Here is a 15,235-nt window from a genome sequence, read left to right on the forward strand (position 1 = left end):
CCCCAATTCATCAACAACTCCTGTGGCTTCACCTGCAAAATACATCACAACCTGACCACTTCCCGCCACTCCCAGCCCCGACTCCCATCCTGGTCCAAGCCGCCATCATCTTTGGCTTGGATTATTGCAGAAGCTTCCTCAGTCATCCTCCCTCCTGTCTATTCTGCACTCAGCAGCCAGGGTGAGACTTCCACAGTATAAGGTAGATTACGTCACTCCTTTGCTTCAAGGGCTCCTCAGTGCAAAAGCCAAAGTCATAGCAGTGGCCAGAGATCCTGCTTGTTGTAGCTCCTCCCTTCCCTGTCCCTACCGCCACTTTTCTGACTTCGTCTCCCATCCTTCTTTCCCTCCCTCAAAGCATTCAAGCTCCTCTGGCTTCCATGATGCTCCTTGAACATGCTAAGTGCATTCCTGCCTATTTGCACGTGCTGTCCTCTCTGGCTGGAATGCTCTTCCCTCATAGAGCCTCAAGACTCCCTCCCCCTCCTCCTTGAGGCCTCTGTGTCTGTGTCTTACTAGGGAGGCCTTCACCGCACAATTTATAATCACAATCCCTGTCCCCCCATGCCCTGTTTATTTCCTTCTTTATTAAATGATCACTGGAAGTCTTGTCCATTGGTTGACTTTCTCCTCCCAGTAGAATGTAAGTTCCAAAGAGGCAGGGCCTTGATCTATGTGGTTTACTGCTGTATCGACAGTGCCGAATCATCATCTGAATGTTGAATGAATGCCGAATCCCTGCCTTCAAACAGTTCAGGTTCTTGCAGAGGTCCAAAAACTCAGGCAGGTGAGGCAGCAGATGCTTTCCACCGGCCTGGGATGGTAGAACATCAGTGGGCACAACAGAGCATCAAATGAGCAGACCCAGGGCAGCTGGGGCTCAAAATGGGGGATTCTGCCTAAAAGATCCATAGAAAGGGGACCTCTTAGAGTCATTCTGGGGTAGGTGGGAGAGCTCCCCAGAAGCCATTCTCTCTTCTTTTCTCAACTGTCTCTAATTTTCCTTGGGGCTTCACCCCTCTTTTCCACTGTCAACCCATTGGTGCAGAGAATGCGGCTCGCACCCAGAAAACCACTCACTGACCTTCCTAGTTCACAGCCATGAGTTTAGAGGACATTTGTGGGCCAGTCAGAGCCAGTGGGATGCCATGAGATCCACTGGACTGAGAAAGGGGCACCTCCCTCTTTAAGTGAACCTTCAAGGAAGTAACAGCTGGAGCTGCAGTAGCCATCTTGTGCTCATAAAGAGGGGCGCCTGTCTGTGAACATAGTCAGTGTGGGTTGAGCAGAGCCAAGAGAGAGAAAACACAGGAGTCGCCCACCAGGCAAAACCCTGGACTTAGAATTTGCATGAACCAAGACTTACGCCATTTAGGTTTTAGTTTTCCGCCAGTTGCAACCATCGGAGATCCACCAACAGAGCATGAGCAAGCTCACCTACCTGTGGACAGGGGAATGACACTATGTGCACACATATGACATCTGATGCACACAGGAGGAGGCAGGACAGAGCACCGAAGCAGGAATGAATACACTGGATTCAGTGTATTGAGGCCTGGCTGTCTCAAGGGCCTCTGGGAATGACCCACTGGGCACAGGCCTACCCCTAAGATTTGCAGGGCCCAGGGCCAGAGTATAAGTGGAAGCCTACATACCATACGGCTAAATAGTTACATGCTGTTAGTCAAGCTAAAAAACTGTTAAACGAAACACGTCCTTTTCTCTTACCTTGACAAATGTACCTTCATCACAATCTGGAAAGTCAGGTGAGAATGGAGACTTCTCCTACACAGTGACATGGGGAGAGGTAGCACCAGGACCCCATTCTCCCCCTTTCTCTTTTACCACTGGCTCCATCCTGAACCATAAGGGGCCTTGCATTCTCTGTGGAAACCCCAGCCCTTATGTCCAAACACTGTCTACACCCACTGCAAACAGCTGCCCCTTGGTCACCCTTAGGGCCTAAAAGTGCACCTCCTGCAAGTATGGCTTTCCCTCTGGAAGACAGACCCAAGGAAGAGGCCCACGCATGTCCTAGAAGTGGGCTCAGGGGCAAGTGGGCAGGAAATTCAGGGTTCTAGATCCTTAGAGGAAAGTCTGGAAGGGCAGGGCACAGGCTCCTGGTGGGTATGTCCCCTGGTCCCACTGACTCCTTGTCCCGGGAGGAGAGGCCAACCAGAGGAGGCAGAGGGCAAGACATCAAAGCACAGGCCCTGGGAAAGGGTCCCTCTCGCCTGGGCTTAAGGATGGTCCAGATTGATCCAGATTGATCCAGAGGTACAGGGTAGTTTTGAATCCATCAGAATATGTGGTCTTGGGTTGTGTTTCCTGTTGACTCACATCCACCACTCCCACTGCCTCCTGGAAATGGGAGATTTTATATAAAGAAGTTATTTTTCCTGAAATCTGTACTTCTACCAGGAACACCAGAGATTGCCACTTAAGGGCAAGGTGAAAGATATAGCAATGTGATGAGCTGGCTAGTTTTTGTTAGGGGTCTGCTGGAGCCCCCTGTAACACGGGGCAGAACAGCAGCAGTGCCAGTACAGAGGGTATCTCCTGGGCAACCCAGGATTCATTGTGGCCAAGGCCAGGTGCAGGAGAGCACATACAACGGGGGCATGGCATCCTCCTGGTGCTTCTGTAGTTCTGGGACTGGGAGCCAAGTCGGGGAAGCACCATCTTGTTCCTGCTCTTGTCACCTTTGAGTCAACATGCCTTGGGTAGCCCTTGGTGTGAGCAGGTGTGTGAGACAAACCACAGTGATAATAAATGCTTTAAAAACAGGAACTCTGGGTTTGCTGGTGAATTGTCAAATTTAGGACTAGTTCTTTTTTCAGTTCCCTCTCCCCAAGGAGGCCATGCTCGGACCTGCACCCTCACTGCCCATTCGTGCTATTCTTCTGCCGTCTGGGGGTGTTGCATATCTTCCCCGACAACCTTGTCCCCTTCAGATTAGGCACTTCCTGAGGAAGGAGGCCATGTGTGAGTCACTCTGCAACCATGGGAGCTGGGTACCAACATGGAAGAGATGGTAACAGTGAGTGACAGCAGTCCAGGGCTTGCCCAAGCCTGAGGCCGTGGGCACCCTGTAAACCCTGTAGGTTTCCCTCATACTCTCTCCTACCTTTGTTTTGACCCTTCTAGCTGTCCCCTGATGCCTCTGGTTTCTGTCCCACTATATTATCTGTCTATTCTTTTTCCTGGAACACCTTCAGTTTGAAGACTTGGTTGAATGATTTGAATGTCTCATTCCCTCCCACCACCACCTCTACGCATCTGCCTCTTAGATTTCCTTCATTGATTGATGCCTTGAAGCAGTCAGGTCCAGGCTTCCCTGCCACTGCTACCATTACACGGCCTGGCCTCTTAGGTCATGTCCAAGGTCTGGGCATGTTGTTGGACCAAGGCAAGGGAGAGTGGACCAACACAAAGTCTGATGATGCAGAGGATTGTAAGAGTGTTCTTCAAAGAAGTGACTTTTATTTTGACACAGACTGTGAGGATTATGACAAAGGCAACTGAAATCGTTGTGATACTAAAGACCATATTGTGAGGCTGCCAATGATGATAATGGTGACGGCATTGCTGAGGGTGAAATTAATCATGTTGATGTTGTGATAGTAATGGCGGGATGGTGATGTTGATGTTGGTGTTGATGAGACTGACAATGATAAATGTGTTGGTGCCTTCACTGTAGTGGTGATAATGACAGGGGATGACGGGATGTCAGCATTGATGAGAGAGGAGGTGATCACAACGTTGATGGTACTGACAGTATCAGTGGGATGGTGGCAGAGATGTTGGTGCTGATGAGACTGGTGATGATGAAGATGTTGCTGTCATGGCAGTGATGGAGGTGATGACAGTGGGGGTAGTGTTGGTGGTGCTGATATTAAGAGTGGAGATGATACCATTGTTGCTGGTGAAAACAGTAATTGTGGTGCTGGTGTACTGGTGTTGATAGTAGAGTCAATGGTGGTGATGATGATGATGACCACACTGGGTTTCATTCTGCAAGAGATGCAGTGATTAGACTTTACTCTTGCATAGCAGGAAGCATCAGTCCTGGCCTTCACCTATTGCTTTTCCCTGGCCTCTCTCCACCTCCCCTTTCCTGTCTCCTCCATGTTCCTTCCACCCTCTGAGGACTTCCCAGCTGGGAAGAACACTGCTGCCCCCACAGGGACCAGGGCAGGGCTTACAGCAGCAGCAGCAGCTTTTCTTCCAGATGTTTCCAGGGCAGCAGCCAACTCTTGTTCTGGCAGCCCTGATCACACTGCAGTAATTACATTATTTGTGGCTTCAATTTTAAATCCATTTTCTGGTCATTTTACAGTAACTCAATGGTTCACAGTCATTGCAGGAGTCCACAGCCTGAATGCTGTCCCCCCACTCCCTTTCCATGGCAATTGTAGTTATGGCAAAAATTATCCCAATCAATTTGTGTCTTAAAAGGAATTGAGCAGCCCAGAGAATAAGTGAAGGCGGAGGAGCCTGGGGAGCCCTGGGTCAATTCCAGGCCCACTCCGGTCAGCCTTGGAAGAAAACACAGACACTCTCTGCGCTGCTGCTGCCTCTGGCGCTGCCTGGAAGTCACTCATCTTTTAATTTCCACAAAACATGAAAAGATAAAGACAATAAGAGAAAGTCCATTTTAACAGGGAAAGGCCCCCGGCCTCATGTGGAGGGAAGGACTAATTCAAGCAGAGCTGGCAGGGCAGGTGGTGCCAGGCTTTATGCCTCTGTGTCCCCTCCCCCCACAGGGCCCGAGGTGGCTGGATCCAGCTGGAGGGGAAGAAAGCAATGACGAGGACTTCTGTCTAGGGAAAATGAATTATTTCTGGATTAATTAGAATTTGCCCCAAGCCCCAGGTTCCTTGGAAGAGTCCTAAAGATGCCTCAGGAGAATGCTGTTTAAAAAACCAAAGATGAGAAGAAAAAATAAAGATCATGGAACATGGGGCTCTCCCTGAGGGATAGAGGGTACCCAAAGGGGAGTGTGATCCAACAGCAGGAATGTGCCAAGGTGTGACAGTGGTGTTGCCAGTCATAGCAGAGGGATGGTATCTGTCTTAGGCATGTCATCACAGGGACATTGAGGGTTGCAGAAAGATGGCACTTAATTTTTTTATTGAGATATAAAATATAGTAAAGTGCATTAATGTTAAGCACATGACTGTTATGAATTTTCACATATAATTTCATTCATACGTCATGCACTCATGTATGCTACACTATCTCAGTCAAGCTACAGAGCGTTTCCAACACCTAAGAAGGGTCTCTCTTGCTCCTTCCCAGTCAATATCCACTCACTGCACACTACTCCCTCTCCCAGAGGAAATCTCTTTTCTTTCACTCAATACTATATCTGTGAGGTTCACCTATGATGTTGAGTGGAGAAAGTTTATTCTTTTTTTAATTGCTGATTAAAATTCCATTGTATAATTATATCCGAATCTATCCATTCTCCTACTGATGGACCTTTAATTTACTTCTAACTTTTGATTATTACCATTAAAGTGGCTAGAAACATCGTTATAGGCACAAGCTTTAGTAGATACTGCCAAATAGTTCTCCTAAGAAATGGAAGGTTTTACTCCCATCAGCATTGTATAGAAAAAATAAGCCCAAACCCCTGCCTCCCACCATACACAGAAAATCAATGTGAGATAGATCACAGAGCTAACTATGAAAGATAAAACAACAGCATTTCTAGGAAAAAAATGAGAAAATATCTTCATAACCTTAGGTTAGACAAAGACTTCTCAAACAACACAAAATACATTAACCATAATGGAAAATATTGATAAATTGGACTTCTTTAAATTAAGAACTTTACTCCTCAAAAGAAACTGTTAAGAGAATGTAAAGGGAAGCCCACATGTAATGCATATATGCAATAGAGATATCTCTCCAACAAAGGATGCAATAATATATAAATCAAGAATATAGGCGGGGCGTGGTGGCTCATACTTGTAATCCCAGCACTTTAGGAGGCTGAGGTGGGTGGATCACGAGGTCAGGAGTTCGAGACCAGTCTGGCCAACATGATGAAACCCTACCTGTACTAAAAATACAAAGAATCATTTGGGTGTGGTGGTGGATGCCTGTAATCCCAGCTACTTGGGAGGCTGAGGCAGGAGAATTGCTTGAACCCAAGAGGCGGAGGTTGCAATGAGCTGAGGTGGCACCACTGCACTCCAGCCTGGGCAACAAGAGTGAAATTCCATCTCAAAAAAAAAAAAAAAATATATATATATATATATAGTGAGAGAGAGAGAGAGTGAGAGAGAGAGAGAGACAGAGATTCACTATATATATATAATGAGACTCACTACAGAAACCACCAGAATGGCCAAAATTTAAAAATAAAACTGACTTTACCAAGTGCTAGTGAAGATGTAGGGCAAGTGCCACTCTCAAACATAGCTGTGGGGAGTTCAGACTGTGCAGCAGCTTTGGATAACTGTTTAGCTGAACATATGTACATACTGTGACCCGCATACTTCCACTCCTAAGTATATACCCAACAAAAATGAGTATACATGTGCATCACAAGACATCTACATGAACGTCCACAGCAGGAATGCAGGTAATAGCCCCAAGCAGAAACCAACACATAAGTGTAACAAAAGTGAAATGGATTTGTTTAAAATGGGGCATATTCATGTAACAGAACACTGTACATCAATGAAGACCAGTATATTCAACCACGTAGACAATCTCACGGATACGAGACAAAGCAAAGAGCAAGGCTTAAAAGAGTAGACACTGAATGATTTCATTTATGTAAAGTTCAAAAACAGCAAAACCCAGTGTGGGGCACCAGCAGTCAGAACGGTGGTGACCTTGGGAGAGGAATGACTGGGAGGGCCATGGGGGCTTCTGGAGGGCTCACATGGTCTATATCTTGATTTGGGTGGCAGTTCCTTTTTTCTTGATCTAGCTTGAGTAGGTGTCTGTTTCTTATAAACTCATGCTCCTTGACCAAGCTAATGTTCCATCCTCCCTTTCCTGCACTCTCTCCTGCAACTCCCAGTATGGCACCTGTTGCTTCATCCACTAGATTATAAGCTCCATGGTCACAGGAACCAGCCACCTCTGTCTTAAACACTTTGGGATCCCCAGCACCTGGCACACAGTGGGCGCTCAACAGACTTCTCAAGTGCATAAACTGGCTCCTTCAAACAACTTGCATTTTCCACTCCACCTTCTGCCTTATCCCACTCCTCACTCTTTCCCACCATCCTTCAAAACTCAACTCAAACCTCTCCTCCTCCAGGAAGCCTTCCTGCTTGTACCACAACACTTCTGTAGCTCTCTCTCATTTTCTGGTTGTTATAGTTATTGGTCCTATGACCTAGCTTCCTTGGGCATGACCTATAAAGGGCAGGGCCTTTTTTCCTGCAGGGATCGTAAGGAACAATGTTCGTTAAGTGGGTTTGACACACTTTCATTTGTGCATCCGATCAAACTACCAGGACTGATTTTGTGCCTCCTGCGTGCCAGGCCCATGCCAGGTTCTATAGTGGAGCAGTAAAAAGACACGGGGGCTTGCAGACAAGTGGAAGAAATGTACAATAATCACATGACCTCTCTCTCACACACACAGGTCAGGCTTGTGAAAGAAAAGTTGAGTGTTATAAGATGAAAGCAAGGAGACCTGACCTTGTCTAGGGGTTAGGGGAGGGTCTCCCTGAGGACTGGAAGTTTGAGAAGAGAAGGATGAGTTGGCCAGGCAAAGGGCAGGAGAGGGTGGGCTGGAGAAAGGGAATTACAAGCAGAGAGGGCAGCATGTGCGGAAGCCCAGAGGTGGGAGGAAGCATGGCACCCTGAGGAGGGCAGGTTTGGCTAGAACCCAGGGCCTAAGGGAGCAGATGGTATGGATGTGGCTGGAAGGCCAAGCTGGGGCTAGACTGGAAAGGCCCTCATGGGCTCTAATGACGATTTGGGGAAAGACCATGAGATGTTCCATCCAAGAATTTAAGAAAGCAAGTCATGTCATCTGGTTGGGGGGAGGCGGGGAGTGGAGGGGTTGTGGCTTTGGTCACTTGGAAGCCCAGGGCTAGATTTTCAGGAGCTAGGTTTCTGTCTTGGGCCTGCTCACCAACAACTTGGCAGTTTCACATAGGGCAGGACTATAATTTCCTGGAGGAAGTAACTCCGGGAGGGCTCGGAAACTCTGCCCTGGGGTTCCCTGCCTGGCTGGGGAAGGTCCCTGTGCTGAATCACAGGTGTACCACTAGGGAGTCATTGTATTATTTTAGTAATTTTTAGCAAACATAGACAGAAAACCCAGTCTAGCTTTTTGTGGGTGGTTGTACCCACGAGGGCCTCTGCACTCTGATTCCAGGCTTTTGTTCTGTGTCCTGACCTTTTTATTGAGCAGTTTTGGTTGAGTTGAGTCATTTTCTAGCTGGACAAGGCCGGGCAGAGGGTGTTAGCATAGACTCTCAGCAGGGAGATGGACACTTCACTGCACAGGGTAGGCTGCAGGGCATGCTGGGAAAAGAGTGGCAGGGAGCAGACACAACAGCAGAGAGAGGGGTCACGGGTGAAGGATCACTCTTCGGATGATCCAGGCTAAACCAGGGTGGGGCACCTCTTGTCTGTCTGCAGATCAGCTCTGAGATTCAGCAGAGTGGCCTCAAAAATGTCAGAATGGCCAGGCACAGTGGCCTGTAATCCCAGTACTCTGGGAGGCTGAGGTGGGTAGATCACTTAAGGTCAGGAGTTCAAGACCAGCCTGGACAACATGGTGAAACCCTATCTCTACTAAAAATGCAAAAAATTAGCTGGGTGTGGTGGCATGCACCTGTAGTCCCAGCTACTCAGGAGGCGGAGAGAGGAGAATTGCTTGAACCTGGGAGGCGGAGGGTGCAGTGAGCAGAGATCGCACCACTGTACTCCAGCCTGGGCAACAGAGTGAGACTCTGTCTAAAAAAAAAAAAAAATGTCAGCAGTAACTGCTCTCGATATCAGGGACTCTGACTGCCAGAATACAAGGCAAGGAGAAGCAGGTGGGTGGGACACAGAAATTGGGTCTCTGACCTGGTGGCTCAGTATGTGGAGGGCAAAGAAGCCAAGTGCAATAAGAGTAAAGTCCTATATGGTACTTCCTACGTGCCAGCGCTTACTATTCTAAGCACTTTACAGAAATGCATCCATTGTGCAGATGAGAAAATTGAGGCACAGGGTATTTTGTCCAAGGTCACACAACTAATATCAGAGTTGCTAGGATGCAAGTCCAGGCAGTCTGGCTCCAAGCCCAAACCAGGTAGAAAAGGCTCTGAACCTACTTGGAGCTCTGGCCCATTCCCAGGATCTTGGACAGCAAATGCAGCGCTTCCCCTCCCCAGGCTGGGAAGAGAACAGAGGCAGGAGCTGCACACTCACCCTTTTTGGTCGCCTCGAAGCTGTCATGGAAGTGAATCCTCTGTATGTCATAGGTCAAGGTTGTGTTGGGCAGCAGAGTCCTGTTCCTGTTGATGATGTTGGCAGAAAATCGAAAGGCATGCTCCTCGGCATTCATGACCTGGGCGTTGGGGCCGTCCGCATACTCGAAGATTCCTCCTGTGAAAGATGAGTAAAATTGTGTGTGGTTGGGAGGAGGGATGGGGCTCTAGCAAGGATGCTTGGCTCAAAAGATTTTATAGACAAGTTGCCTGCTCCCTGAAATGTTCAATAATATCCTAGGTAACTGCCATACCTAGAAAGTGTGCAGGAGCACAAGAAATAGGAAAATCCTCCTCATTCATTTCACTCAACCAGCAAATTCCTGATAACAGAGCCCGACAGGGCCAAAATAAGATTACCAACTTATTAATATTGCTGTGAAAATTCTCAATAGAATTATAGCAAGCAGAATCTACCAGGATAACATACCATGACCACGCAGAGTTTTATTCTAGGAATCTAAGACTGGTTCAATATAAAGAAATCTATGAATATCATTCCATCACATCAATAGTTCAAATAAGAAAAAAAATATAATCAACTCACAAAATGCAAGATGGCATTTAATAAAATCCAATATCTATTGCTGTTAAGAATGCATAATAAAATAGCACCAGAAGAAATACTTCCTTGAAACTTTTTTAGCTTAAATCAGCCTTTAATATCATACTAATGGTGAAAAACTAGAGGCATTCTCATTAAAGAAAAATAAGAGGCATGGGGGAGGATTTGCATCACGCCATTAACCAATGAAATAAGAAAGAAAAATAATTTAGAGCCACAACATTTGTAAAGAAAGAAATTCTTATTTGCAAATGATATAAAAACCCTTAAAATAATCCCTAAACATGAAAACAAGTAGGAGCTAGTAGAGTTAAGTTAAATGACCAGTTAGCACAAATTAATAGTGTTTCTTCATATCAGTGACAATCAGTAAAAAAACTTAATAGCAAATGAATTCCTTTTACAATATCAGCAAAAACATTAAATAACTAATAATAAACCAAATGAGAAGTGTGCAGTTCCAGTTTTATTTATTTATTTATTTATTCATTTGAGATGGAGTTTCACTCTTGTCGCTCAGGCTGGAGTGCAGTGGCACAATCTCTGCTCACGGCAGCCTCCGCTTCCCGGGTTCAAGCGGTTCTCCAACCTCAGTCTCTCAAGTTGCTGGGACTACAGGCACATGCTGCTACGCCCGGATAATTTTTGTATTTTTAGTAGAGATGGGATTTCACCATGTTGGCCAGGCTGGTCTGGAACTCTTGACCTCAGGTGAGCCACCTGCCTTGGCCTGCCTCCCAAAGTGCTGGGATTACAGGTGTGAGCCACTGTGCCGGACTACAATTCCAGTTTTAAAACATGACAAAAACAGGCTGAGAGCAGTAGCTTATGCCTGTAATCCCAACACTTCCAGAGGCCGAGGCAGGAAGATGACGATTGAAGCCAAGAGTTCAAGACCAACTTGAGCAACATAGTGACACTTTGTCTTTACAAAAATAAAAAGAAAAGAAAAAAATTAAAAATGACCAGCACAAAAAAAAAAAACACCTTTAATGAGAGATATAAACATAGCCTTAAATGAAGAGACATGGTGTGTTTCTGAATGGTAAAGTTCACGTGTAGAGGTGTCAGTTTTTCCAAATTAATTTTTCAGTTTAATTCCAATCAGAATCATGAAAGGATTTTTCTTTTCCTGATAAAATGACTCTAAAATGTATCTGGAAGACTAAACATGAACTAATGACCAAAACATGTTTTAAAAAGAATGAGAGGTAATTCGTACTGCCAGATTTTAAAATATATCATTAAGCCAAATAATTAAATTCATGTTCTAATAGCATATGAAAACACAGATAGATCAAAGGAACAGGATAAAAGCTCCCATAAAGAGACTCAAGTAGAGATAAGTATTTAAAACATGAGAAAGATGGCTAGTTCCAATCAGTAAGTAAATGAATTATTCATTAACTGTGCTGTGACAATTATTCAATTATTTGGAAGAAATTTAAGTTAGAATTCAATCTTAATCTAAAATAAATTCCAGATAAATTAAAGATTAATGGCAAATGGGTAAGGGGAGGAGCAGAAAAAATACTATAAAAGTACCAAAAAAGAAAATATAGGTGAATATTTTACAATATTGGGTAGAGGAGGTCTTTCTAAGCCTTTCAAAAACATCAGAAACCATAAAAGAAAGTTTGATAGCTCCACAAAAATAACATAAAACTTCTACCCATTAAAAACCATAAACAAAATTAAATTACAAACACAAACTTGAAATAAATATTTGTAACATATGTGGGAGCATAAAGATGGAAGCTCTTATTTTATAAAAAGCTCTTAAATTCTACAAAAAGGACGAATACTCCCATAGAAAAATGTGCAAAGGACGAGTATGAACCTTTAACAAAAGAAAAGAAAATAATACAAAGGGGCTATTAATGTATGAAGAAGTGTGCAACTTCCCTAATAATTAAAATAAACTCAATTTAAACCAACAATGAGATACCATTTTTTGCCTATCCAGTTGGTAAAGATACAAAATAAACCATGGCTCCAGCTTTGGTGCGGGAATAGTTGTTTAGAAAGAGATACCTGCTTAACTGTGGGTGGAGGGGGAAATGTATACCCAGCCTGTTGAGATGGACATTAGAAATTTACCAAAAGCCCTAAAAATGTCCACGCCTGTGACTCGGGAATTTGATATCTAGAAATGGACTCTAACAACAACAGTAGGCATATGGATCATGTATGGGGAAGGAGATCTAGGGACGTTCAACCAGAGAAATAGTAAACTATTGTCTATGTATTTACATATAATCACAAAAATTTAATGACACAGGAAATACCCATGATATATTTTTAAGTGAACAGTGAGGGTTTCTGGCAGAGGTGCAGTACAATTCCCTTTAGAAGAGGAAGAAGAAGAGGAACTTATGTCTTTAACATAAGAATAGAAGACATTTCTTGTTTCATTCTTAATGCCTTTCTATATTTTTTCCAATTAAACCTTTATTATTTTTGATAATTGATTTTGTTGAGGTATTATTACATTCTACAAGATTCACCTGTTTTAAAGTGTACAATGATTTTTAGTAAATTTACTGAGTTCTATGACCATAAGCACAATCCTGTTTTAGAACCTTCCCATCACCCAGTAAGAATCCCCGTGCCCATTTACAGTCAATTATAGTTTTCATTCCCACTCCCAGGCAGCCACTAATTTACTTTTTGTCTTTTCTGAACATTTCATATAAATGGAATCATGCAATAGGTGGTCTTTTCATCTGGCTTTTTGTATTTCGTGTGCTTTTGCGGTTCATCCATATTAGTGTCATGTATCAGTACTTTATTCCTCTTTATTGCTAAATAATATTACTTTGTATAGACGTACCACATTTTATTTTTCTATCCACCAGCTGATGGGTATTTGGATTGTTTTAATTGTTTTGAAAATTCTAAAAAGTAGTGGTTTCCAGTCTCTGGTCTGGCATATGACAAGCTTGAAAGTTGCCATTCTGTCCTAACAACCAGTTAAGGCTGAACAAACTGAAAAATCAACAACTCTTCTTAGATCTGTAAGAGAAGTGAGGTCACAGGGCAAACCACTGCCCCCAGAATTGGAGAGATAGGTAAATAGAGAGAATTACAAATTAATGGAGCAGAAACCTCCATGGGAATCGGTGTGCAGGTAGGAAAACCGAAAGTGTAATTGACTAGTTGCTGGAGGCTCAGTGTGGATAAGTCTGAGAGACAAAAACCTCAGGGGAGGCCTTCACTGGGCCCCCACGCTTTTGTGAGTTTTACTCCTGGAATTCTACCAGGTTCTTAAGTGAATATTGGAGAAAAATCCCCATGTGCTTCTGGCAGTGGAAGGGGAAAAGGAATCATTTCAAAATATGCCAGAGCATTCTGTTTTTAACAAGGTTTGTCCTCAGGGGAAACTAGTTAGCCAGAGCCTAACCTGCTGGGGTTTCATGAGAGACTAACTGACCTGGTGGAAGGGAAATACTCAACTCCAGCCCACCCTAGCCATCCTATCCCTTCTACACGTGTGTGTTGCGGGGGAGGTGGGGGAGAAGCACCTGTGAAGTTTACCGCCCAGGGGCACAGGCTCACCAAAAGACTGAGATGTAATCATAGCACTATAGAATGCTTCCCCCTCTCCTCACCCCTTACCACTAAATCACTAAAGGCCTTATTTTCAGCAGTTACTTTTACCCAGTGCATCATGTCCAGCTATCAAGAAAAAATTACAGGGCATACTAAAAGGCATAAAAACCATAGTTTGAAGAGACAGAGCAAGCATCAGAACCAGATTCAGATATGGCATGGATTTTGGAATTATCAGACCAGAAATTCAAAACAACTATGATTAATATGCTAAGGGCTCTAATGGATAAAGAGGACAGCATGCAAGAACAGATAGGCAAAGAGATGGGAATTCTAAGAAAAAAAAAAGAAATGTTAGAGATAAAAAGCAAAACAAAACGAAATACTGTAACAGAAATGAAGAGTGCCTTTGATGGGCTTGTAAGTAGACTGAACACAGCTGAGAAGTGGGTCTCTGAGCTTGAGGATATCTCAATAGAAACTTCCAAAACTGAAAAGCAAAGAGCAGAAAGACTGGAAGAAGAAAACAGAATATCCAAAAACTGTGGCTGTAAAAATGCCTAATGGAAATGCAAGAAGGAGAAGGAAGAGAGAAATGATCAGGAGAAATATTTGAAACAGTAATGACTTTCCTCAAATTAATGTCAGACACCAAACCACTGATCTAGGATCCTTAGAGCACACCAAGCACAAAGCAGGAAATATGTCCCCAAAATGACACTGAGGCATATCATTTTCAAACAATAGAAAATCAAAGATCAAGAAAAAAATCCCAACAAGCCCGAAGAAAAATGCATCTTATCTATGGAGGAAAAAAGATAAGAATTACATCTGACTTCTCTTCAGAAACCATGCAAGCAAGAAGAGGGTGAAGTGAAATATATAAAGTATTGAGAGAAAATAAAAACCAACCTATAATTCTGTATCCTGAGAAATTATCCTTCAAAAGTGGAGAGAAATAAAGACTTTCTCTGACAAACAAAAATCAATGAAATTTGTTGCCAGTAGATCTGCCTTACAAGAAATATTAAAAGATGTTCTTTAGAGAGAAGGAAAATAATATAGGTCAAAAACTTCAATCTACATACAAGAAGAACACTGAAGAAAGAATAAGCGAAGGTAAAATTTAAAAAATGTATTTTTCTTACTCTTAATTGATTTAACAGACAATAGTTTGTTCAAAATAATAATAGCAACAATGTATTCATAAATATCCACTTATGTATGCTTATATATGAGCAAAATGAATGACAGCAATGATATAAGGATGGGAGGGAGGAATTAGGATTATTTTGTTACTGTAAAATACTCACACTACTTGTGAAGCAGTATAACATTATTTGAGAATGAACTTGGATTAGTTGCATATGTATATTGCAAACTCTAGGGCAACTACTAAAAAAATAGTACAATTGACATGATAAGTGAGGAGAGGAAATGAAATGATAAAATATGCTCAATTAAAATCATGAAAGGCAGAAAAGGGCTGGAAGGCAAAAATAGAAACAAAGAACAAGGGCAACAAATAGAAAACAGTGACAAATAAGGTAGATATTAATCCAGTTATATCAATTCTCATTTTAAACATCAAAGGTCTAAATGCATCAACTAAAAGAGATTGTCAAAGTGGATCAAAAAACAAGATCCAACTATATGTTGT

At 43.3% G+C, this 15,235-nt stretch overlaps 1 protein-coding gene across 1 annotated transcript in view; it reads right to left on the reverse strand.

Annotated features, from left to right (window-relative positions):
* GRIK3 (glutamate ionotropic receptor kainate type subunit 3) overlaps positions 1-15,235 on the reverse strand; it is a 238,989-nt gene that overhangs the window by 85,994 nt on the left and 137,760 nt on the right. The window contains exon 2 of the mRNA NM_000831.4: positions 9,400-9,576. Coding sequence (NP_000822.2) covers positions 9,400-9,576 — 177 coding nt within the window. The remainder of the gene's footprint in view (positions 1-9,399; positions 9,577-15,235) is intronic.

Source organism: Homo sapiens, chromosome 1 (assembly GCF_000001405.40).
Source record: "Homo sapiens chromosome 1, GRCh38.p14 Primary Assembly".
Taxonomy (NCBI): domain Eukaryota; kingdom Metazoa; phylum Chordata; class Mammalia; order Primates; family Hominidae; genus Homo; species Homo sapiens.